Raw genomic sequence first — 23,756 nt, 5'->3', positions numbered from 1 at the left:
GATGGGTTGGCTTAGTGGCTAATGATGCACTTTAGGAAACTGCACAGATCTGGGGGTGCTGAAGACAGAACTGTGACACCAGCAGGTCTATCCATGTTATGCTGTAGCTCTCACGTATACACTGACATTACTGAAGTCAGTTGACTGTCCCTGTAATGAGGACAAAGGTAGCGGTTTCATCCCCCATAAGGAACAGGTAATTTGTTACAGAAATTTCTCGGTGGACTCAAAATCAATAACTGAAATAAAAAGAAATATGGGAGGAAGCAAATGTAGCCATAAATTAACATCATTCTTATATAAATTGATTTCTAAAAATAAGAAGCCTGTGGTAGAAAAATCAGGAATGAAATGAGGACACAAGTCACATAAGAGGAAGGAGAAGTGAAGTGAGCCAGCTGAGAACCAACTTCTAGTAGCTAAAGAATTAATGAAAAATTTCCATTTTCATCTACAAATAATTAGCAAGAAATGTTGAGTTGTTCTGAAATGCTAGAATAGAGACACACTGTTTTAGAAAATATTTCTTCCTGTACATTAGGAGCCACAGGATACTTCAGAATTTTGACCTAGTGATTCCGTTTTGAGAAATTTACCTGATGATCCATAATAATAGAAGTAATCTGAAAAAAGAAGAAATATGGTTCCATATCATAAAGATGTTCACTGTAATACTATTTACAATAGTTAAAAATGGGAAGCAACGGAAATATTGAAAAATAAGAAATAAGCAGTAAATGAAATATTGAAAACATTAGTGACCACAAGGAGGGACTCAGGCAAAATGTTTATAAAATGATATAATGTAAAACAATACACAATTTTATTTACAATGTTTTGTCTATGTAAATATCAAAGAGTTGGAAAAATTCTGTAAGATGATGAGAAAGAATGAAAAAAATGGTTGCATTATGTAGTCCTATTGTGATGTTTCCTCCTGTCTCATTACCAGTATTATATCTTTGCTCTCCCAAGGTGCTCGAGACAAAAAGAAGAGAAAAAAAAGTCACACAAGAATTTTTAAAAATAAGAAGTTGTACCACAGCCCCACGATGCACGTTCTCATGTGAACCACCTCAGAAATAAGAAATTGAGTGAGTCAGAAATACTCACCTCAACTCGTGAGATGGCTAATGAAAGCACCGTAAATAACAGACAAAACTGTGTGTTATCTTTAATGATACTCTTTGGCAAACAGAATTTTTAAAAATGTAAACTTTATTAGTTAATATTGCTAAATGAAACATTGAGTTTTTGGAAAAAAGCTTGCTTAAATTTTCAGCCTAATTACTGTAAAGTCATCTCTTTGGGAAATATGCTGCAGTTTCATATTGGGTGTCACCACCATAAATGGCTTGAAGTCAAATAGTCATGTACACCTTTTCCCAGTGCAACAGGAAGAACATTGGCAAATGCATTATCAGCCCTTTTAATAACATTTGAGCACCAACTCTGGATGGAGCTGCTGTGGGAAGCTTGCATGACATACTGAAGACCAAAAGCTTTGGAATCAAGGGGCCAGAAATGATAGTGGAGACAGAATAGAGATGTGGCCACCAAGTTATGAAACAGGATGTTGTGGCCTGCTTGTTAGTGGCTGTGTTTGAAGATATGGCCTCCGTCCATTAAATAAGTAATTAAGATTAAAGGAGGTCATAAGGGCTGGGCCCTGGTCCTGTTGGATTCGTGTTTTCAGAAGAAGAGACACCAAGGACTCCCACCCCTATGCCCACCCCAAGGAAAGGCCATATAAGGACATAGTGACAGGGCTGCGTCTGCAAGCCAGGAAGAGAACCCATCAGGCGCTGACCCTGTTGGACCGCGGTCTGGAACCTCTGGTCTCCAGATGTGTGAGAACATAAACTTCTGTTGTTTAAGGCCCATCTGCTTGTGGGTATTTTTTTTTTTAATGGTAGTCTGAGAAGACTAATACACAAATCTAGTTGTGCAGGTTAAAGTAGTATTACGGGTAAAAACATGGAATCATAATTGATAGCTAAAGCCAGTAGCAGCACATATAATTAAAATTTAAGTGCAGTGGAATGTTAATTGGGACTTTCTTTGTTGTCCTGAAATTGCAGCTGAGATGCAAGGCTAAAGCCAAGGTGCCCATTATCCTCAAATTCTAAAAAGCTATCAACAAGCCCCATTTACATCTCCACAGAATTATGAAGAAGTGGGAGAAGGAGTCCTATTCCCACCAGGCCCCACCTCTAAAGCCAAGGTGCCCATTATCCTCAAATTCTAAAAAGCTATCAACAAGCCCCATTTACATCTCCACAGAATTATGAAGATGTAGGAGAAGGAGTCCTATTCCCACCAGGCCCCACCTCCCCAGGCCCAGTGGAAGAACTGGGAGAACAGTTTACAAAGCAGTCTTGGGGCTGCAGCACTTTCAGTGAGAGGCAGCCACATCCTCACAGTGGAAAAGGGAAGTGTTTTTCTTTATCCCCAGAAATTCATAAGAGGGTTAAGAGAATACTTCATTGAACTTGAGGGTTCCTGAAAGGTGAGGAGACAGATTGTCACTCACTGGACAGACACCTAGTGAGCTGCAGAACAAGCAGGTCCACCTTGTGCTGTCACTGGGAACAACTGAAAGTGGAAGTTCTTGGGACGCATATTCAGGCAGTCACAGAAGAAGATCTAGGCCTTCTTCAACCAGCTTCCACAACCCAGCTCTCAACACCTCGATTTGGGTTTGTTTGATGTTCTCACCATGGTTGCACTGCAGACATGCCTTTTGGAGAGGAAGTCCACATCATTTCAAGGGACGCATATTCAGGCAGTCACAGAAGAAGATCTAGGCCTTCTCCAATCAGCTTCTATGACCCAGCTCCCAACACCTCGATTTGGGTTTGTTTGATGTTCTTACCATGGTTGCACTGCAGACATGCCTTTTGGAGAGAAAGACCACATCATTTCAAGGCTACATACTGTCAACATCATTTATCACTGTTGATATTGACTTATGATGACTTGGTTGAGGTTTTAGGGCTCTTCGTATTATTTATTTCTTATTGATGGTGTTTGGGTAGTTTTTGATTTTCAAGGAGTTGGTCCATTTCTTTTAAATTGTGAGTTTATAAGCATTTGACATCATATTTCCTTATTTTTTGGAAGGATCTGCTTTTTGTTTCATTGATTTTAAAGTTTATTAAATTCCACTTTGATCTTTATCTTTTCTCTCCTTCTTGTTGCTTTGAGTTTATTTTGCTCTTATTTGTCTAGTTTCTTCAGGGAGAGATGAAGATGATTGATTTGAGATCTTTTCTCATGTCCAACATATGCACTTAGGCTATGTGCTATGGTTTCACACAGTCCATGTTAATATATGATGGCTAGCTAAATATATAGAGTAGCCTTTCTTTCTTGATCAAATACCTATAGAAAATACAGAAGATGTATGTGTGTATATATGCACACATACACACACACACATAATTGCACTATATATGTGGAGTCTTCAGAAGATCAGAGACCACAAAGAGTCTTTGAAGATAAATAACAGTGGGGTTTCCCATTGATGAAATCATATATAACCCCTTAAAATGTAGGACTCATATATAAGGTGGAAGAGGTCCCAAGGGTGTTCTATACTTGAGAGAAGCAGGAGGAGACCAGGACGACTAATAAAGGGACTATTTATAAGGAAACAACCATTCAGTTTGGCCTGTTCACATCCCTCTTCCCTTCCTTCAGGTGAAAGCAGTGAATGTTGGTTCTTGGTTTGTTGAAAAGGGTACTGCCTAGACACAGGAAGTCCCCAGATCTGAGAGTCGGCTATGCAGCAGCCATTTCAGATCCGAGAGTCAGCCATGCAGCAGCCATTTCAGATCCGAGAGTCGGCCATGCACTAGCCATTTCGGATCTGAGAGAGTCGGGCATGCAGCAGCCATTTTGGATCTGAGAGAGTCGGCCATGCAGCAGCCATTTTGGATCTGAGAGAGTCCGCCATGCAGCAGCCATTTTGGATCTGAGAGAGTCGGCCATGCAGCAGCCATTTTGGATCTGAGAGTCAGCCATGCAGCTGCCATTTTGGATCTGAGAGAGTCGGCCATGCAGCAGCCATTTCGGATCCGAGAGTCGGCCATGCAGCAGCCATTTTGGATCTGAGAGAGTCGGCCATGCAGCAGCCATTTTGGATCTGAGAGTCAGCCATGCAGCTGCCATTTTGGATCTGAGAGAGTTGGCCATGCAGCAGCGTTTCGGATCCGAGAGCTGGCCATGCAGCAGCCATTAAGGATCCAAGAGTCGGTCATGTAGCAGCCATTTCGGATCTGAGAGAGTCGGCCATGCAGCAGCCGTTTGGGATCTGAGAGTCGGCCATGCAGCAGCCGTTTGGGATCTGAGAGAGTCGGCCATGCAGCAGCCATTTGTGCATGCTTCCCTTCTCCCAGCCCCACAGGAGACTGACTCTGCATCCTGCCTCCTTTCAAATGCATCCTGTGCCAACAGTTTCTGAAAACGGATAAACAAATTGACAACCTCAAATGCAAAGATGAAACATTTCTCCAGATCATCAGGTACTTAAAAAATTTGACATAAAAAAGAGATACTGAATTCAACAATACTAGAAGATAAACTAAAGAAAACAAAAATCACAATGCTATAAAATTTAGAATAACATTTAAAACAAAAGGCTTGATTCTAAAATGTAATCACCTAGAAAGTAAAATACTAATTTCAAAAAATTACTGAAAAGATTACAAATCAGAAATGAATAATAAGAGGAGCACTACTTATGAAGATCTGTGAAAGGCAAACCAAAAAAAAAAAAAAAAGGAAAGAAAAGGGAAAAGCCATATGTAGAGGGAAAAAGTAGCCTTGAATTACTAAAATAAGGAAATATATAGCAAGTCTTTAAACTTAAATAAATGAAATAAATTTTTTAAAAAGAGGAAAACTTAATCAGATTAAAGCTGGTTTAATAAAATAGCATACAAAATGTAAAATCCTTCAAAAAGATTAAGAGTTTAGTTTAAAACCCAATAAAAAGAACAATTCAATTACAACAGTATCAAAAAAATGATGGAAGTCATCAATAAAGACCAATGAGGAGGCCGGGTGTAGTGGCTCACACTTGTAATCCCAGCACTTTGGGAGGCTGAAGTGGGCAGATCACCTGAGGTTGGGAGTTCGAGATCAACCTGACCAACACGCCCAAACCCCGTCTCTATTAAAAATACAAAATTAGCTGGGTGTGGTGATGCATGCCTGTAGTCCCAGCTACTCAGTAGGCTGAGGCAGGAGAATTGCTTGAACCAGGAAGGAGCAGGTTGCGGTAAGCCAAGATTACGCCATTGCACTCCATCCTGGGCAACAAGAGCAAAAACTCCGTCAAAAAAAAAGAAGAAAGAAAAGAACAATGAGGAGAAAAGGGGCATAGGCACAGTGCATGGTAGATTAAAATACGTGACTTAGCTCTATATCAATCTGTCTATAAAAATTGTTTTCAAGAGATAAATTACAAAATTTGACAAAGATGTAGTATTATACAAAACTTGACCAGAAAAATGCTAGAGAGATTAAATAAAAACTGAAGATTTACCTTTTAAAACAGGCTCAGATGTCGAGATTAGTAAATTATAGCAAATGTTATTTGAGAGATCATTCCTATGTTATATAAAATATGTGAGAACAGCAAAAAAGAAAAAAAACACAACTCATTATATTGGTCTAGATACCTTGCTATGAAAATTTGTCAAGGATATATTAAGCAAAGAAAATTTGAGGCCCCTCACTTTCCTTTATAAATACGAATGTAAAAAATTAATTAAAATATTAAAAATTGAACGTAGTATGTACTAAATGAATAATACAGCGTGAATAAGTAGGTTCCCCAAAAAACCAAGAAAGGTTCAACATTGTTTTAAATTGTCAGTTTTTTGTCACTACTATAACATATATAGGGAACTGAAAAGATAAATGTCTGTCTTCTGTCTGTCTCTGTTTCTGTCTATAGATAGATATAGGTATAGACATACATACATGCATATATGGTTTTGACAAAATATAATTCTAGATTCAAAGATAATTATCTACACAAACGAAGAGATCGTCTCATCTTGTCATTGATATATGGTAGCTAGAAGAAATCTAACGTAATCTCAGTGGGAAACATTAGAAATAACATTAAAAAGTCAGGAAGAAGATAAGTATGCTCGTTGCACCTCTATCTTCCTATGCATTTCAGTCAATGTAATAATAAAAGGAAAAAGTTAAAATGTGTAAATATTAGAAATGAAGAGCTTAAACTGCCATTTCTCCAGCACTATCACTATATCAAGATAAATTGGTGTAGTTTGAAGAAATAAAAGGGCTTTGCAATATGGTGGACTACAAAATATGTAAAGATTGAGACTTTTTTAATATCAATAATTTGAAAATGCCAAGAGAAATTCCAATCAAGACAAATGAATGCTAACAAATAAATCTAAACTTATATATGTGCAAGATATATAAGTAAAGCTGTACAAAATTTTTTAAAACTTTTAAAGAACATGAAAATATGGATAGATATACAAATTGAATGAACACTCCTTATCCAAAAATCCAAAATTCACAATTCTCCAAACATCTAAAATGTTTTGAGCACTGACATGATACCACAAGTGAAAAATTCCACACCTGACCTCATGTGATGGGTCACAGTGAAAACACAGTAAAAATTTTCCTCAGGTATGAAATTATTTAAAATATTGTATAAAATTACCTTTATGCCATGTGATGGTGTATATGAGACATAAATGAATATTATATTTAGAGTTGGGTCTCATACCCAAGATATCTCATTATATCTATGCAAATATTCCAAAATGTGAAAAAAAATCTGAAACCTGAAACACTTCTGATCCCAAGCATCTTATAAAAAAATACTCAACCTGTATCGCATTCCCTCATAGATATTTTAAAGATAGTAAGTTTCCCATAGTGAGTCTATAAATTCAATGTGATCCAAATAAAAAGTCTAATAGAAATTTTTTTTAAAACTTTGCAATCTAATTATCAAATTAATCTGGGAGTGCTAAAACCAAGAATACTTAAAACCATTTCCAAAAGAACAAAAAAGACACTTACTCAGAACCCAAAGGATACTTTAAAGATAGAGTCTTTAATACAGTGATATTCCGTAGGTATAGACGTATAGATCAGTGCAATGATATCTCTCAGTGGGGGAGTTTTTAAACATAGTATAGTATGTATAAGTCCAGCTAGAAAAAAAACTCACCAAACTGGAGATGGTAATAGGACTAACTGTGGAAACCAAGGGTAGATTGCAAAGCAGAAGTAAAGAAGCATTAGAAAAAAAAAAAAGCAAGACAAATAAAAACCAAAATATGAAATACTAGAAAGAATTTTGTAATAATAATAAACGCAAATGGTCTAAACTTGCCAATTAAGACCACTATTATGTATGCACATAAGTGTGTGTTTGCTAAATATGCATATAAAACAAAAAGACATTAAAAAATAAATGGTTGAAAAAAGATAGAAAAATATCTTAATAAAAAGTTGGAATAGCTTTACTACAATAGTAGAAAAAATAACTCTTTAAGGTAAAATACACTATTAAAGAGAATAAAAGTTGCTACAACTCAATGATGAAAAGTCAATTCAACAAGAAGATATAACAAATCTAACTGTATATAAATCTAATGAGAAGCATTGAATTACATCAAAAAATTTTCAGATTTTAAAGAAGATATTGTCCAATCCATAACTGTAATAGAAATATTTATTACAACTTTTTCAATTATTGATAAAGCAATAAAAATTGGTAAATACATAGAAGAGTCAAAAAACATAATTAAAAAATAATGTAATGAATATATATAGAATAATTCACTAAACATTTACAGAATATTATCGTCTTCTCAGACATATAAATTGAACCATTACTAGGCCATAAAGCGAGCTTTAACATTTAATAGAATGAGTAATATATAGAACAAGATATTTGATTATCAGCAATTAAATTACAAATTAACAATTAAAATATATATAATTTTTTAAACCTACATTTATATATTTTTAAAAGGTCAAGAATAATTATAGTGATAATTATAAGATGCTTATAACCAAAAGATAGCAAAAAACTATTTATCAAAAGCTATAAAATTGTACATGACACTATATTTAGAGAAATATATAATTTTAAAAGCTGAAAATTGAGCTAATTCAATTTTTTTTTTTTTTTTTTGAGATGGAGTTTTGCTCTTGTTGCCCAGGCTGAAGTGCAATGGCACGATCTTGGCTCACTGCACCCTCCGCCTCCCAGGTTCAAGCGATTCTCCTATCTCAGCCTCTTGAGTAGCTGGGATTATGGGCATGCGTCACCACGTCCGATTAATTTTTTGTATTTTTAGTAGAGATGGGGTTTCTCCATGGTGGTCAGGCTGGTCTCAAACTCCCTACCTCAGGTGACCCACCCACCTCAGCCTCCCAAAGTGCTGGGATTACAGGCGTGAGCCACCGCGCCTGGCCACTAATTCAATTTTAAAAGATATTAAAATACTAACAGGATAAATCCAATGAAAGTAAACGATGAAACAATAAAAGGCAAAGATTAATTTTTTAAAAAAGAAAATAAACATAATGGGACATATCAACATGTGATATATAGCTTTAAAAAGCTATAAAATACACAAAATTATCAAAACTCAGGAGGACATAGGAGATAATAATAAATAAGCTAAGGCATGAAAAGGGAGTCATAACTACAAATAGCAGATATTAAAAACCAGAGAATATTATGAACTTTATGCCAATATATTTGAAAGTTTATACAAAATGAATAGTTTCCTGTAAATAACATGAGAAGAAATGAAAAAATACACTCTAGAATCTTGCTTTAAAATTGTCAATACTTTAAAATTCCCTTACAAGAAAAGACGTTGCCCTTGACAATTTTACACACAATTTTACCAAACATTCGAGAAATTCCAATCTTGCACAAGTTCTTCTAGGAATTAGAGAAAATGAGCATTTCTCAGTTTGTTTTTTGATGGTAGTATATCCCTGATCTCAAACTGCATGAGTATAGTAATAAGGAAGAAAAATTCCACTTGTAAAGGTTTTAAATAAATTTAAACTAACTTACTACATATATAAAAATATGATATGTTATTTGCAGTTGAGTTTATTCTGGAAATGCTGGATTCTTTATCAGCAGGAAATTTATTAAGGGAAGTCACCATATTAACATATTAGGGAGACAATCTAAGTGATCATCTCAAAAGATGTAGGAAAACTATCTGATAAAATGATGCTGGCTGGGCGCAGTGGCTCACGCCTGTAATCCCAGCACTTCGGGAGGCCAATGCGGGCAGATCACGGGGTCAAGAGATCAAGACCATCCTGGCCAACAGGATGACACCCTGTCTCTACTAAAAATACAAAAATTAGCTGGGTGTGGTGGCATGTTTCTGTAGTCCCAGCTACTCGGGAGACTGAGGCAGGAGAATGGCTTGAACCTGGGAGGCAGAGGTTGCAGTGAGCCGACATCACGCCACTACACTCCAGCCTGGCGACAGAGTGAAGCTCCGTCCGAAAAAAAAAAAGTGTTGCTAATACGTTAATCCTATGTGCTAACTACTGGTCTAAACGCTTACCACGTATTGATTCGCTTAGTCTTCATAGCAATCTCCTGAGATAGATGCTACTGTCCTCTTCATTTCACAGCAGAAGAAACCGCACCACAGAAGTGATGTGATTTGCCCAAGATTACGCACAGCTGAGGGTGGAACTGGGTTCGAACGCAGACACTCTAGCTGTACACTGAATTACAGTAAATATTCCTACACATTTGTCTGTGGGTATGCTAACAAACATTCTCCAAATAATGGTAGATTTGGTTAAAAAAAAATTCACTTGCAGATTGTCTGGTAAATTCATTTTCTAATTCCTAGAGTGTGTTGTTAGAACATTTCAAAAATCTTTGCTGAATGAATACATTTCTCTTCCGAATGACAAAATATTAGGCTTTTAGGACTAAATAGAATTAAGGCATGATCAAGTTTATCACCAATAATTTTATTTTAGCTTATTCAGACATCTTTATAATCTTGTTTCCATAAGCAACTTCCAAATTTGAATGCAGTATGCTTACCCGCTAGGAAAATTAGAAGGCCCCTAGCAAAGAACAATTGCTTAAGCCTAAAGTATTGGAGCCCTTTAAATAAATAATGTAAATAACTTACACCAAACTCCAAATATGATGATTGACACTGGAAGAAAGGAGTCCTCCAAAATGGGAGCATCTACTATCCCCATCATCATCATCGTCATGTAGAAACATGCAAAGTTTCCATTTCCTACTAATTATGTTTCTGCATTTATTTTATTAAAAAACAGGTGTTAGTTCCATGTGTTTTTAGTTACATTGTCATTAGTAAACTGACTTGCATGTAAAGTATGCATATTACAATTTAGATTTTCTTGGCATTTTGTGCTTGTTTGGAGAGAAGGCAATGCTTTGCTATTGTCTACTTCCATATATACATATACATGTGTATGTATTTCCATGCACACGCAGACACGGAATTTGGAAGAGAGAGTGTAAACTCTAGAGACAAAATAGACTTGAGTTCCCATTTTAGCTCCACCATTTATAAATGTGCAACTGAGCAAGTTACTTAATTTTTCTGAAACATTGTTTTGCCATCTGTAAAATTAGGTAGTGCCAATCAGAGGTGGCACAGGGATTGGGATTCAGGTCTGATGGACTGATCCTGAGGGCAGTTGGGAATCATAAGTGTGAAGGAAGGGAGGTAAATTCTCCAAATTCTAACTCAGCTTAATGTAAATGAGACAACTTGCACCCCATCTCGTGGCAGCCTCAGACTGAAGGTGCCTGGTGTTATGCCTTGGAGCTGTTCATTTTAAAGGAAAAAGTGAGAACAAAAAAAGTCTGCATTACTTTTTTATCTCCCTGAAGGACTGCTGGAACCTTTATGCAAAGAAAAAAAAGTTTAATTTCAGTGCATGAAGCCTCTTCTTTTTGAGATAATTAGAGCCCAAATTTTACATTATAGAATTGGCATACTATAAGTACTTAAAAAGAATATTTTTAGAGTGAACAAGTTGTCAAAGAGGATATGTCCTGCTCTTCTGTACTCACCTTCAAATTCTTGATCTTTTATCTCAGCTATGGTTGTGACATGGCCACAGTCCTTCTTCAGTTGTCCTGCGTCCTTGTACCATCTTTCTCTGTTTTCTTTTTCCTTGGATTCCGGTATCTTGCCTTAGTTTTCCTCCCATCCCCACTATTCTTCTGTCTGGTTTCCATTCCATCCTTTCTCAAAGAACAAAACCTCATTGGCCTGGGCAGAGCTCAAGCATTCTCTGCTCCAAGTGGCCAGCAGGAGCACTCTGGACAACCCCACAGGATTTGATTGTGGTTTGCTCTGCGCAATTCCAAAACCACCAATCAATTCAATAAAAGAACTCTAGTTTAATCAACACTGTAAACTGTAAAAGGGAAAACAAAACAAAAACAAGTCATTTAGGCCAAATAAGCAGGGACCTGGTTGACTCGCTCCCTTCCCAGTGGGCTGGACTGGGGTGGGGGCTCTCAGTCTTTGTTGACTAAGTGGTCAGTCTAGGGGGTCCCCAGCCCCGTTATTTGAACAAGCCCTCCTGCCATCCGTCCTTCCTGTTCTGTGACATTGGCATTGGCCCAAAGGGATCTAAGTGCCCAAATCTCGTTCCATTGAAATCTGGCCATGAGCACACAGTGATGTGTGTGCTCGTGTCCAGACTCCAGGGAGGGGAAAGGCTGAGTGCTGAAGGGCCATGTGGAAGTGTGGGAGACAGCACAGAGGCGTCTAGGAGCAGCCAACACACTTCAAAGACAGCCAGACTCTTTAAGCATCATGCAAGGTACAAAGAGATATAAAATGCCTCTGGCGGGTCAAAACCAGAGGGCAGGTGGGTGATGCCAAGGTCTCCTGTGGGGACCCGCAAAGCACAGGCTCTGCTTGATCCCTGGTATGGGATTATGCCCAAGGAAACTGGCATGCTCTCGGTTCTGAGCTAGAGCTGATTGAAGAGAAAGCTGCACATTGAAAAGGACTATGATAACAAACTAGAGGACACCAAACTGCTTCCTGTTGGAGAGAGCACATCGTCTAGGAATCATGTTTCCATCCAACAGAATCCACACCTGTTGCCTCTGCTGGATTGGCCCCAGATACCTGCACCTCTGGGTCTCTGTGTACCCAGGTCTCTGCTCCCCCAGGTCTGTGTACCCCGGGTCTCTGCACCCCCAGGTCTCTGCTCCCCCAGGTCTCTGCCCCCCCAGCTCTCTCTGCATCCAGGTCTCTGCACTCCCAGGTCTCTGTACCCCCAGGTCTCTGTGTCCCCAGGTCTCTGTGAATCCAGGTCCCTGCACCCCCAGGTCACTGCACCCCCAGGTCTCTGCATCCCCAGGTCTCTGCACCCCTAGGTGTCTGCACCCCCAGTGCTCTGTGCCTCCAAGTCTCTGTGCCTCCAGTTCTCATTGCCTCCAGGTCTCTGCACCCCCAGGTCACTGCACCCCCAGGGCTCTGAATCCCCAGGTCACTGCACCCCCAGGGCTCTTTTCCCCCAAGTCTCTGTGACCCCAGTTCTCATTGCCTCCAAGTCTCTGCACCCACAGCTCTCTGCACCCCCAGGTCTCTGAATTCCCAGGTTGCTCTGCTCCCAGGTCTCTGTGCATTCAGGTGTCTGCACCCGTGACCTTCTCTCATAGGCACCAAGCAGAGGACATGGCAGGTAGGTGTGGGGACATTCCTACTGCTGCTGTTAGTAAGAATTTACAACATACTGAATGCAAAGCCAGCTATGCAAGGATGTAGCTGCTTCCTTTAATGGACTTGGGCTTAAAGAAATTAGATTTAGACTCCACTTAACCCCAAGTGTTGAAGCTTGTACACTCTGTTTCTCTGTCCCTACCCTTGGCCTTTTACCTTTTGTACCTGCTGTTTTTTTCTTTATGGACAATGATATCAAATTAGACAGTTCCAGCATTATAGAAGAACATTCATCCTGAGGAACCAAGGGGGCCACAGATATTTAATTACTGCCACCCACGTTTCCAGAAGACACAACCTCAGGGAAGATCAGACCCCAGGGCAGGCACTGGTCAGTTCTGCTCTGGTCCTAACATTGCCACTTGGCAATGACCATGGCCAACTCAAAGCCCTCCTGGAGCTGGACCATGGCACCCAGCCCATTGCTCCTTTTGGCAGCCTAAACTAAGGTTCCCCACCCACTGGTACCGGTCCATGGCCTGTTTAGAAACCAGGCCACACAGCAGGAGGTATGCAGTGGTGGGTAAGCATTACCCTCTGAGCTCTACCTCCTGTCAGATCAGCCGTGGCTTTAGATTCTCATAGGAGCACAAACCCTATTGTGAACTGTGCATGTGAGGGATCTAGGTGGCTTGCTCTTTATGAAAATCTCATGCCTGATGATCTGAGGTGGGGCATTTCATCCCAAAACCACCCTGCCACACACACACATGCACACACCATGGAAAAATTGTCTTCCATGTCACCTGTCCCTGGTGCCAAACATGTTGGAGACTTGCCCTAAGGAGTTCATAATTTTGCTCCTCAATGTCCCAGCTCCAGGTGAGGATACAACTGTTACTCTGTCTCAGTATCCCTGCCAAGGTGTAGCTGAGGTTGAAGCCACTCTGGGCAGCATCACTAAAGCAAGAGACCCGAGCATTAGCATGAAGGAGGCCAACACCCAGAGCCTGGGCCCTCTCTCCTCTGGCTAAGACACAGCTGCTGCTTTCTGTCCTGGAGCAGCCCGGCTCAGCCTTCAGGCCAGCCCCTTGTTCGTCCCCCTTTTCCAGAGCCTCAGGCTTTATTCTTGGGGAGCTGGGGGATTTGGGGTTACCCTTCTCCTTTGCCCAGCCCCATATAATCCTCTCTCAACAGCACCCTCAGCTCCCAGTCCTCTTGCAGCCTCCCCACTCTCTCTCCCCTCAGCTCACCTCCTGCCAGGTGACGATTTGGTTCATTGTCTGCCCACACCCCTAATCCACCTTCCCCCTTGGCATTCCAGGTAACCCAAATGCCCCTGAATGTTAACACTGACTTCCCTCAGGCTTGATCCTACTCTCAGGCTACTCTAGTTCCCAGTTTTCCCACATAGTGATGCTGGACCCAGGGCTGGAACCCAGGCCCTCCGCTGCCCAGTTCTTCATTCTGCACAGTGTCCCCTTCTCTCCCTGACAAGGGTGAAGTGACGATGTGCATCACCTGCCTTTTCCGCATCCATAGTCATGCTCTTTCTCTTTTTTTAACAGACAAATTTAATGTACTTTTATTTTTTATTTTCTAAATTACAAAAATTGTATATGATCATAAAATGGTGAAATCAATGAAATAATACAAGAGAGGCATTAGTTTACCTTCACACACTGCTCCTTCTCTGTCTCCAACACCCTCAGCCCCACCACAACCAGCACCAACAATCTGGCCCCATCCCTTAATGCTCATGCAAACATATGATCTTTTGCAAAAAAAAAAAAAAAAAAAAAAAAAAGTGGAAAAATGGCATGCATAATACTCCACAGCTTTCTGTGGAGTAAACGTACATCAGGTGGCATGACAGTAAACTCATCCTGTGATAGGTGTGCAATATTCTGTAGTGCATCCAACTCTAACCCAGTATATAGACCTGTCCCCCTTTGATAAGGTGGAACACAATATATTTCACCATTCTCCTTTTGATTCATACCTTTTTACCACCATAAAGAATGTTGTAGTCAATTATCTTGAGATTATATCCTCATATATTGGTGCTATTTTTTGTTTTTTTTTTCCATTTCTATAACAGATTTCTAAAATGGAATTACTGAGTTCATGGGTACTTATACTTTTTAATTTTAAGAAATATTTTGAAATTTATTTGGGGGAAAGTCTGTAGCTCTTCCTGCTCACCCAGCCGTCTTTGATAGTATCTCCTTCCTTGCCTCCTCGGTGGTATTACATGTTACCATTTTCTGCAAATTTTTTGTCAGTCCAATTTCACTATTGCTTTAATTCACATTCCTCCGACTCTCAGTAAAGTTTAACAACCTTCTGTATGTTTATTAACGCTTATAATTGCCTGTTCATCCTAGCAATTTTCTTAGACTATTTGTAATGTTTTAGTTAATTTTAGGAGATTTTTATATATGGGAGATAGTAACCTTGTGTCATATGTGTAAAAATAGTTTTCCAATCTTCTGATTCTCTTTTGCTTTCTGTTTATCATTTCTCACCATGGAAAAATGTTTAAACTTTATGCAGTTGAATATACATAGTCTTTCTCTTTCACACACATTAAGTATTTAATTTACATGCCTCTTCTAACCAACTTAGTTTGCCAAGGGCTTCCTGGTATTTTAAAGACCATAAAGTTGTCCTTCTCTTCTAAAGGCTTCCATATATTCAGGCTGCTGAGCAATGGTCTCATCTATTTCAGCTGGTTTTGTTTTTCCTTTTCTCACTTAACAACCTTTATGTATCAAGTCTGGCAAGTCTATTAGGACTGTTACTGGGGGGAAAATGTTCATCTAGAAAGTGAAATTAGACCAGAAAATATTGAGTATAAATTTTGCACTTTCACATGGAGTTAAATAATTTTAAGTTTGGGTGTGTTTCGCCTAATCCTTTACTCTCATTCTGGAATCAAAAGTTGTCATGCCTGTGGAGCCCCTTTCCTCCCAAACCTGGCAGAAAGATACTCTCTTTCTCCTCCCACTGTGTGTCTCAGAAACATTGGCCCATGAAGTAGGAGAAGCAGACGGAAACTGTGACTGACAGACTTAGCCGAAGAATGACAATATGTGGAGGGAGCAAATGAGATGGAATTATGGATATTACGAGAAAAATGTTAGGTTCTGTTGAGAGTAATGTATATTCAATACAGACAGAGCTAAATAATTTAAATGTGATTTTGATATGAATAGTAACAGGAAATTTATAGCTATTGCTAATTATAGAAGATACAATCGAATTATTATATTTTCCTCTCCATTTGCCCAGGGATCACATTGAAAGGCAATGGAGATGATAGATAGGTAGACAGATAGATAGACAGATAGATAGATAGATAGATAGATAGATAGATAGATAGATAGATAGATAATATAAAAATGACAAGCAGAAATCTAAAAATACAACTCTTGAAAATGTTTGCTCATCAATATAAATGATGAGGCACTTTACATATATATATCCTTCTCTATAGGTAAAATTGGTTAAGACAAAAATAGACATACTGTAATTTCATCAAAAAGACAAGATACTGAACTGGGAATAGGAAATGTGGATAGGTGTTTCTCTCTGTTAAAATGATTTGCCCTGAATGGAATATAGGATGGGAATAAGTGATTGGAAACTGCTAAGCCTATGGGATCTCCAGCTACTGCTTCTGCATTCCCAAAGCCTCACAGGCCTTCTGGGTTCACATTCAGGAGGGGGTCATGTTGGAACCTCCCCTCTATCTTTATCTCAGCAGGTCATCCCCAGTATTTTGTTTCTGTTATATATGCATGGAATTGGATTTTCCTTGACTAAAAGATGGGCATGCCGGGTGCGATGGGTCATGCCTGTAATCCCAGCACTTTGGAAGGACAAGGCAGGTGGTCATGAGTTTGAGACCAGCCTGACCAACATGGTGAAACCCCGTCTCTACTGAAAATACAAAAATTAGCCTGGCATGGTGGCACGCGCCTGTAATCCCAGGTCCTCAGGAGGCTGAGGCAGGAGAATCACTTGAACCCAGGAGGCAGAGGTTGCAGTGAGCCAGGATCGCGCCACTGCACTCCAGCCTGGGCGACAGAGAGAGACTCTGTCTAAAAAAAAAAATAAAAAAATAAAAAATAAAAAAAAGATGGGCATTCAGCTCTACTTAAGGTATAAATTGAAGATAGAAGGCTTTTTAACATATTATTTAAAAAACCACTATATACATTACATGCAAATTAGTTACTATAGCTTCCTAGAACATCACTGCAATCATTGAGTTTACTTTCACAGGCCTGGCAATAGACAAATTCCCAGTTTTATGCTCCAGTGAATTTTTTCCTTCCCATTCTCATTACGATTATTTATGTTTATTTGTATTGTTTTGCTTAATTACATGTTGTGTTTCATATATCTTGTGTTATTTCTGAAAAATGGCATTTAATGAAGTGAAAGTAAACAGGTAACTGTCAAGAGGAGATGACAGTCTGTTAATTTATGTAAAGTATAACCAACCAGATGTTCTAGAAAATGCTTCAGTCAGAGATAAAGAAAATCTTGTTTTTAATAAACAGGTGATGACTGCATGTTGTGACAAAAATATGTTTTCCAGGAAGTCTTCTAGAGCTCAGCATAGACTCGAGAGCCTAGAATCCAGGAAGCCACTGGGTGGCTGAAGTAGCCTTCCCTAGGATGCCAGTTGCGAGGCATCGGCTGGCTGCTCTGCTGGAGACGCTGGGAATGTGAAGTATCAAGGAAACATCTGACGTCATCAGTGGAGCTGCTGTCTATAAAAACTGAGCTTTCCCATTCTTGTTATAGACCAAGGCTGGACACCATTATTCTTATCAGAGACTAACATTTATCTCATGCCGATCCAGTGAATGTGGAGGGTTTTTGTTGTTGTTGTTGATGTTGTTGTTGTTGTTTTTGACAGAGTCTCGCTCTGTCGCCCAGGCTGGAGTGCAGTGGCGCGATCTCTGCTCACTGCAAGCTCCGCCTCCCGGGTTCACGCCATTCTCCTGCCTCAGCCTCCCGAGTAGCTGGGACTACAGGCGCCCGCCACCGCGCCTGGCTAATTTTTTGTATTTTTAGTAGAGACGGGGTTTCACCGTGTTAGCCAGGATGGTCTCGATCTCCTGACCTTGTGATCTGCCTGCCTCGGCCTCCCAAAGTGCTGGGATTACAGGTGTGAGCCACCACGCCCGGCCAAATGTGGAGGTTTTTAAGAGGACAGACTTTAGCAGTTATTATTTAAATCTTTATATACAGTATATCACACATATGCATCATTATGATCTTGCTGAGTCAATGACCATGAAGTTTATTGTCCTCGTCCATTTTATTCCAGTGAGCTTCCACTTAAGTTCTTCCTGATTAGTTTATAACAAAATTCAGAAACTAACAGATGGGTCTCAAATGTGCAATTCTAGCTGTGGAATTCAGCTGTGCCAGTTACCACCACTCCGAAGATGCCTTAGCTCTATAGCAGTCACAATATATTTCTTTTAAAAAATACTAATATGGCAAAAACAACAACAGAAATCAACCTTGCATCTTTAGAAAGATTGTAACTGTAGGATAAGAGAGATGAATGTCTTCCCTGTTCTTTTCATTCAGTGTCTAGACATCCACTTACAAAGACCTGCTTGTTGCTAGAATTTTAGGAGTAAATCAATTCTCAATGGATTCTAGGCTCTCGCGTCAATGGTTAGGTGTATAGTTTTCATAGTTCTCAAATAGTCAGCTACATATTTTCTTATGGGATTTCAATCTCCTTCAGTCAATGTCATTTGTATATGAGCTTGAAAGATTGCCCATACTTTCCAATAGGAAATATACAGCCACACATAATCCTGCTTTATATTTATCTTTACATCCTTTCTCTTTTATAACTTTTTCTTTCAAAAACAAAAAATGCCACTTTTCTTATGTAGAGTTTTTTGGACTTAAGTGATTGAGCAATGCCTTGTTCTGGAGGAATGGTTGGGCCTGCAAGTTGGGCCCAGAGTGTATAACGTGAAGAAAGAGTACTACACATCAGTATGCAAATGAACATATCAACAGTCTCTCTTGTCAAAATCTATTGTGTCACAATTATTACCACAAGTCCCACTTTGCTGCCAGGATTTTTACATCCGTGACAGCTACAAGAAGATGAGCTTTTTGCCTCCCTTCTCATTTTTTTTTTTTTCTACAGGCACATGGTTTACTCAGGCCCAGAGGAGTGAGCTGATATAAAGAAGCTGTGCCACACAGTCGGATGGGGTCCGAAGGAAACAATAGGGCTGAGTGATGAGTATTGAAGAAGAAATCTAAAGAAAGAATGTCTTATCAGCTGACCGCAAAGCTGCCTCCTTCTACCTGGCCACATTGCTTATCTATTGTACTGCGTCTCTCTTGGATGGAAACGATACACCAATCACTCATAAGTGAATAATTTCCTTCTAAATCACAGGCCTACACCTGAGGTGGCTGCCACAGGTGTAACCTGTTTAGACCAGCAATTATATTTACTCCATGATGACAGAAAACAGGAAAGATGTATCATACAGTGCATTTGCTCCTGCTATTTATAAATAGACCTCTTTACATTAGCACTACATATGACTGTCTCATCCACTTATCAGCAATTTAATATATCACAGACAACATGGGTTAAAAGCAAAATAAGTTTCAAACACTAACCTCAGTTTACTCATAAATATTTCACTTCTACAAACCTTGTTTATTCAAGCTATGGTTCTATACAAATTGGCAAGTCATTCTTTATTTTACTTTTCTGTGGTTCTAGACCCTTCTAGACTAAAGATCTCTGACTTTACTGCTGCCTTTTCTAGATGTTTTCCTGAGTACACATGTGAGCTTATTGTTAACATCAGTCTCTTTCCCTTTAAGAACTGGTTTTTTTCTGATGGCTGTGGTCTAAGAGAGCTCACTCTGGATTTCTCTCTGTTAGTTTTCTAACATAACCCACAGTGATAAATCTATTTTATGTTGGGAATAAGGGAATATTTATACGTAAAGTCAAACAAAATTGAAGTTTACTTATGCTTTTTTGCACTTTGATATTTTCTATATATTCTGCCATGTTCCCTAATATTCTCTGTTATTCTATTTTATTTTTAAGAAAATGATTGGTCTCTACCCTCACAATGATTCTGCAATCCACTGTGGGAACATGACGCACAGCCTCGAGCCACTGTGGGAGCTTCCTCATCAGAAGGGAGGGGTACCAGGGGGTGTGGTGATGTGGCCCTAGGTGCGGGAATTTCCAAAAGGGAAGCTCTGGTAGCAGCCTCTCATCTATAGTATCATATTTTCAGTGTCATCGTAACGCAGAGAAGTAGAAGATTCAAGACTTTGGAAAACAGCCATTTTCTCTCAATTACAAGAATAATAACAGTATTTGAAAGATCCTAAAAGTGGTGAAGATGGAGTAAGTGTTTGGTAGGGAATCCCTGCCCTGGCTGATCATTATGTCTGCCTTGGCTGTACATGTGATCTTGGTGGCATTTCTGGACTATCACCCAGAGAGGTGGGTTAAGACTGGTTAAGACCGCAGAGTCAGACCGCTTGGAGTTGAATCCTGACACCACCGCATTCTAGCTGTGTGACTTTAGAAAGTCCCTTAGCCTCTATGAAATTTAGTTTGCTCAATCAGAAAAAGAGAATAATGACACTGTTCATCTTACAGAATTGTTGCAAGGATTAAATAAACTATCAGATGGAAAGGACTTGTGGTGATATCTCGCACATGGCAATGACTGAACATAGATTCGTTGTTATTATGTCTTCCTCTATGCAGAGTGTTTCAGCCTCCTATTGCTGCTGTAACAAATTATCACACATATAGTGGCTTATAGACACTGTGATATAGGTCTAGGAGTCAGACATCTGCAGTGGATCTTACCAGCTAAAATTAAGTGTCCACAGAACTGTGTTCCTTCCGAAGTTTCTGGGGGAGAATCTGTTCCTTGTGGTTCCAGCTTCTGGAGCCTATCCCATTTCTAGACTCCTGATTGCATCACGCCAGCCTCTGCTCCATTATCACATCTTCTCTGACTCTCACCCTCTTGCCCCCTCTAAGAAGATCACTTGTGATGACCCTGAGCCCACTTGGACCTTCCAGGATCATCTCTCCATCTCAATATTCTTAACTTCATCACTCCTGCAAGGTCCCATTGCCATGAAGGGTGACTTATCCGCAGCTTCCAGGGATTAGGATGTGGCATCTTTCTGAGCCATTATTCTATCTAGCACTACGGGCAACCTATTTTTCTGAAAGCTCCCCCATATCCTAGGTGTGTTACATGTATTACATGCCTAGACTATGGGGAGCTTTCAGAAAAGCAAGTTGCCCATAATCGTAGACAGAATAATGGCTCAGAAATATGCCACACCTTACTCCCTGGAATTCTGAATGTCCAATTGTCTTTGACACAAGATTCTTAAGAGGAAGGACCACGTCTTATTTGTGTATCATTAGTGCTGCACACGAAGAAATTGTCCCATTAATGCAGGATTAATGAATTAACTGATTACATTGTAAAGGGCATCTTATATCCATTGAAACTACCCTGGAGTGAGCCTCCTGGGCATGACAAGGAACAGAGCTGGTGCTGGCTGTGCTATTGTCATGCTGACTGATGACCAAGAGTGATCTGAGAGGGTCTGGGTGGGACATGCTTACCTGCCATGCCCTCAGAGGTGAGCACCTTGAGCTCATTTCCATCTTTAAAAGTCTTACATTCAAACATAAATCCCTCCAGGGGAATCACCTTCCTGCCTCCCTACCGGACCAAGATGAGGCGGAGTAGAGGTGGCTAAATGTGTCGCCGAGTGAGAGAGAGAAAACAGACCCTGCTGTCAGATCCAACTGACATGGAGACGGACAAGGCCAAGGCCACCTCCTTGGCTAACATGGTCAAGAAACACTCCGAGTAAACACGGCTTTTCCCACAGTGGGCTATCAAGCCAGCCCTGCTCACAGGCAGAGAGCAGGCAGGAAGGAGACATCCAATAATATCATATTTTAGAGAGAGGAGAGTCCTTTCTGAGCACTGGATTCAAGATCTTCCCCACTCAAGCAGGTCCTGTGATATTTGGGAGACTCCCAAAAGAGGAGGTGCTTCAGGAAATAAATCAAGGGATCAGGGGCCTTGAGAGCCCTTAGGAAGGAGTTGGAAGGGCCCAGGGAACTGCACCTGTGTCATGAGAGAGACGGATGAGCGCTGCCCAGCAGCTGACAGGCAACACGCCTTGTCCCTCCCTTGGGAACAGGTCCTGCCTTTCCCTGTGGGTGTGGCCCACAGAGCAGCGGGGTTCTCTCCCACAGCAGCAGACTCAGTGTGGGCAGAGTAAGTGCTTGGATGCTGCAGAGGCGCTCCAGGCACCTGCAATGAAGGCAGAGCTATGGGAATCAAAGCAGGGCCCCTGCATGAGGGCATGCAGGAAGTCCAGGGCTTGGGATGAGGATCAATTTCTCATCTACTTTGCAGATGTCCTTAGTGAGGTCCCCATGCTCCACATTCCTGTTCTGGGAACCATCAAGAGGGACAGCTCATGGAACTGGATCCTGGCAGGTACTGTGTGGAATGGCAGCAGGGAAGTGCATCCCCAAAAGCTCCTACGTGAATCAGGAGCCGGCAGAGGGTGGGGGCGGGAATCTCAGGGGCTGCAAGCTAGGAGATGCTCCGTGCTCCGTGTCCTCCCACTTTTCCCATGTGCCCTTTTCCCATCTGTGCTTGAGCTTTAATACGTAGAGGGAAACAAACGGTGAAAGGCATCAGGGAAGTTTGTGTTCAAACCAACCAGTATGAGAGAGACAGGAGAGAGAGAGAGAGAGGTTTCTTTTTGACTGACAGAAATTCACTTTCAAAGTCTTTTAATATACAGATTATACAAAGGGAGTTCTTCCCTGATGCCTCGAGGGATAACAAGTCATTTATGATTTCAGAAAAGTATGGAAGGACTTCAGCGGTGTCTAAATACAGAAAGGAGACAAGTCATTCAAATAATACGAAATGACCTCGACCCTCTTTTTTCTTTTTTTAAATTTTTGCCTTGGCTAATGTTCTTCTCTTAGGCTTCAGAGAGCTTTTTGGCCCTGACGCTCACAGCCTGGGGAGTTGGGAGTCCACTGGATGTGCTCGGCCTCCCTGGGAGCTGAGTGCAATCGGGCACCGTGGATGCCAAGCTGGTGAGGTCGGAACAGCGTCCCCTCAGGCTCTCCTCCCGTGACTCTCAATGCCCACTTGGGGACGTCTTTCCTGCCCTCCCTCTGTCTGCTCCTCCCCTTCACAACACCTGCTCTGCCTCAGGTGCTACCAGAACCCCAAGCAGGATGGCTCTGGCTCTCAAGACGACCACATTCTAGAGGAAAGGAGAAAAAACAAACACGTATGTGATGAGCTGGTGCTCAGAGGGCAGTTAAGCCTGAGGGACAGAGAATAAATGGGGATGGAGCATTTAGAGGGTACATCAGATTGGGTGGTTGGGAAAACCTCGCAGACAGGGCAACATTGTCGCAGAAGTGGCAGAAGTGAAAAGTCAGAGACCCAGCCCAGAGGGTCCCAGGGACCAGGGCTTGGCACGCCAAGGGAACCTGGAACGGTCCAAAGCCAGGGTCTCTGGAGCAGAGTGGAGCAGGGACAAGAGCGAGAGGAGACAAAGGCTGCAGAAGGACTGGGCCTACCCTTCATGATGCGGGAGGCCATGGTGGCATGCCACGTGACAATGTCTACAGAGGGGAAGGAGACTCAGAGCCAAAGGGGGGCCCAGGTCCCAGGGGTTCCACTCCCCAGCTGTGCAATCGTATGGCAACGTTGACAGTTTTATTTTTTAAAAATCCCTTTACTGAGGCACAATTTGTGTTCTATAAAATTCACCCATTTTCAGGATCCAACTCCATGACATTTAGTAAACTGAATCATTGTATCATCACCACAATTTAATTTTAGGATATTGCTTCTCGGCCTATTGGCTAAGATCAAGTGTAATTTTAGAATATTTCCATCATCTCCA

General features: G+C 40.7%; 1 long non-coding RNA gene across 1 annotated transcript, besides 3 other annotated features; it reads left to right on the top strand.

The window, feature by feature from the left end:
- Positions 3,509–4,708: an enhancer, noted in NCBI's record as "MED14-independent group 3 enhancer chr18:73423789-73424988 (GRCh37/hg19 assembly coordinates)". NCBI's record gives its function as "activates an origin of replication core promoter dependent on BRD2, BRD4, P300/CBP and CDK7 cofactors, and independent of MED14, by STARR-seq in HCT116 cells {active_cell/tissue: HCT116}" and the evidence as "EXISTENCE:reporter gene assay evidence [ECO:0000049][PMID:35650434]".
- Positions 4,139–20,459, top strand: LINC01898 (long intergenic non-protein coding RNA 1898). The gene is made up of 2 exons (NR_134646.1): positions 4,139–4,526; positions 18,931–20,459. It is a non-coding gene; the product is annotated as a long intergenic non-protein coding RNA 1898 (long non-coding RNA).
- Positions 22,269–22,860: an enhancer, noted in NCBI's record as "H3K4me1 hESC enhancer chr18:73405637-73406228 (GRCh37/hg19 assembly coordinates)". NCBI's record gives its function as "activates a minimal SCP1, AML or CMV promoter by ChIP-STARR-seq in naive H9 embryonic stem cells {active_cell/tissue: H9 hESC(naive)}" and the evidence as "EXISTENCE:reporter gene assay evidence [ECO:0000049][PMID:30033119]".
- Positions 22,861–23,452: an enhancer, noted in NCBI's record as "H3K4me1 hESC enhancer chr18:73405045-73405636 (GRCh37/hg19 assembly coordinates)". NCBI's record gives its function as "activates a minimal SCP1, AML or CMV promoter by ChIP-STARR-seq in naive H9 embryonic stem cells {active_cell/tissue: H9 hESC(naive)}" and the evidence as "EXISTENCE:reporter gene assay evidence [ECO:0000049][PMID:30033119]".

This window comes from Homo sapiens, chromosome 18 (assembly GCF_000001405.40).
Source record: "Homo sapiens chromosome 18, GRCh38.p14 Primary Assembly".
Lineage (NCBI taxonomy): Eukaryota > Metazoa > Chordata > Mammalia > Primates > Hominidae > Homo > Homo sapiens.
This window is presented reverse-complemented; position numbering and strand designations above follow the sequence as displayed.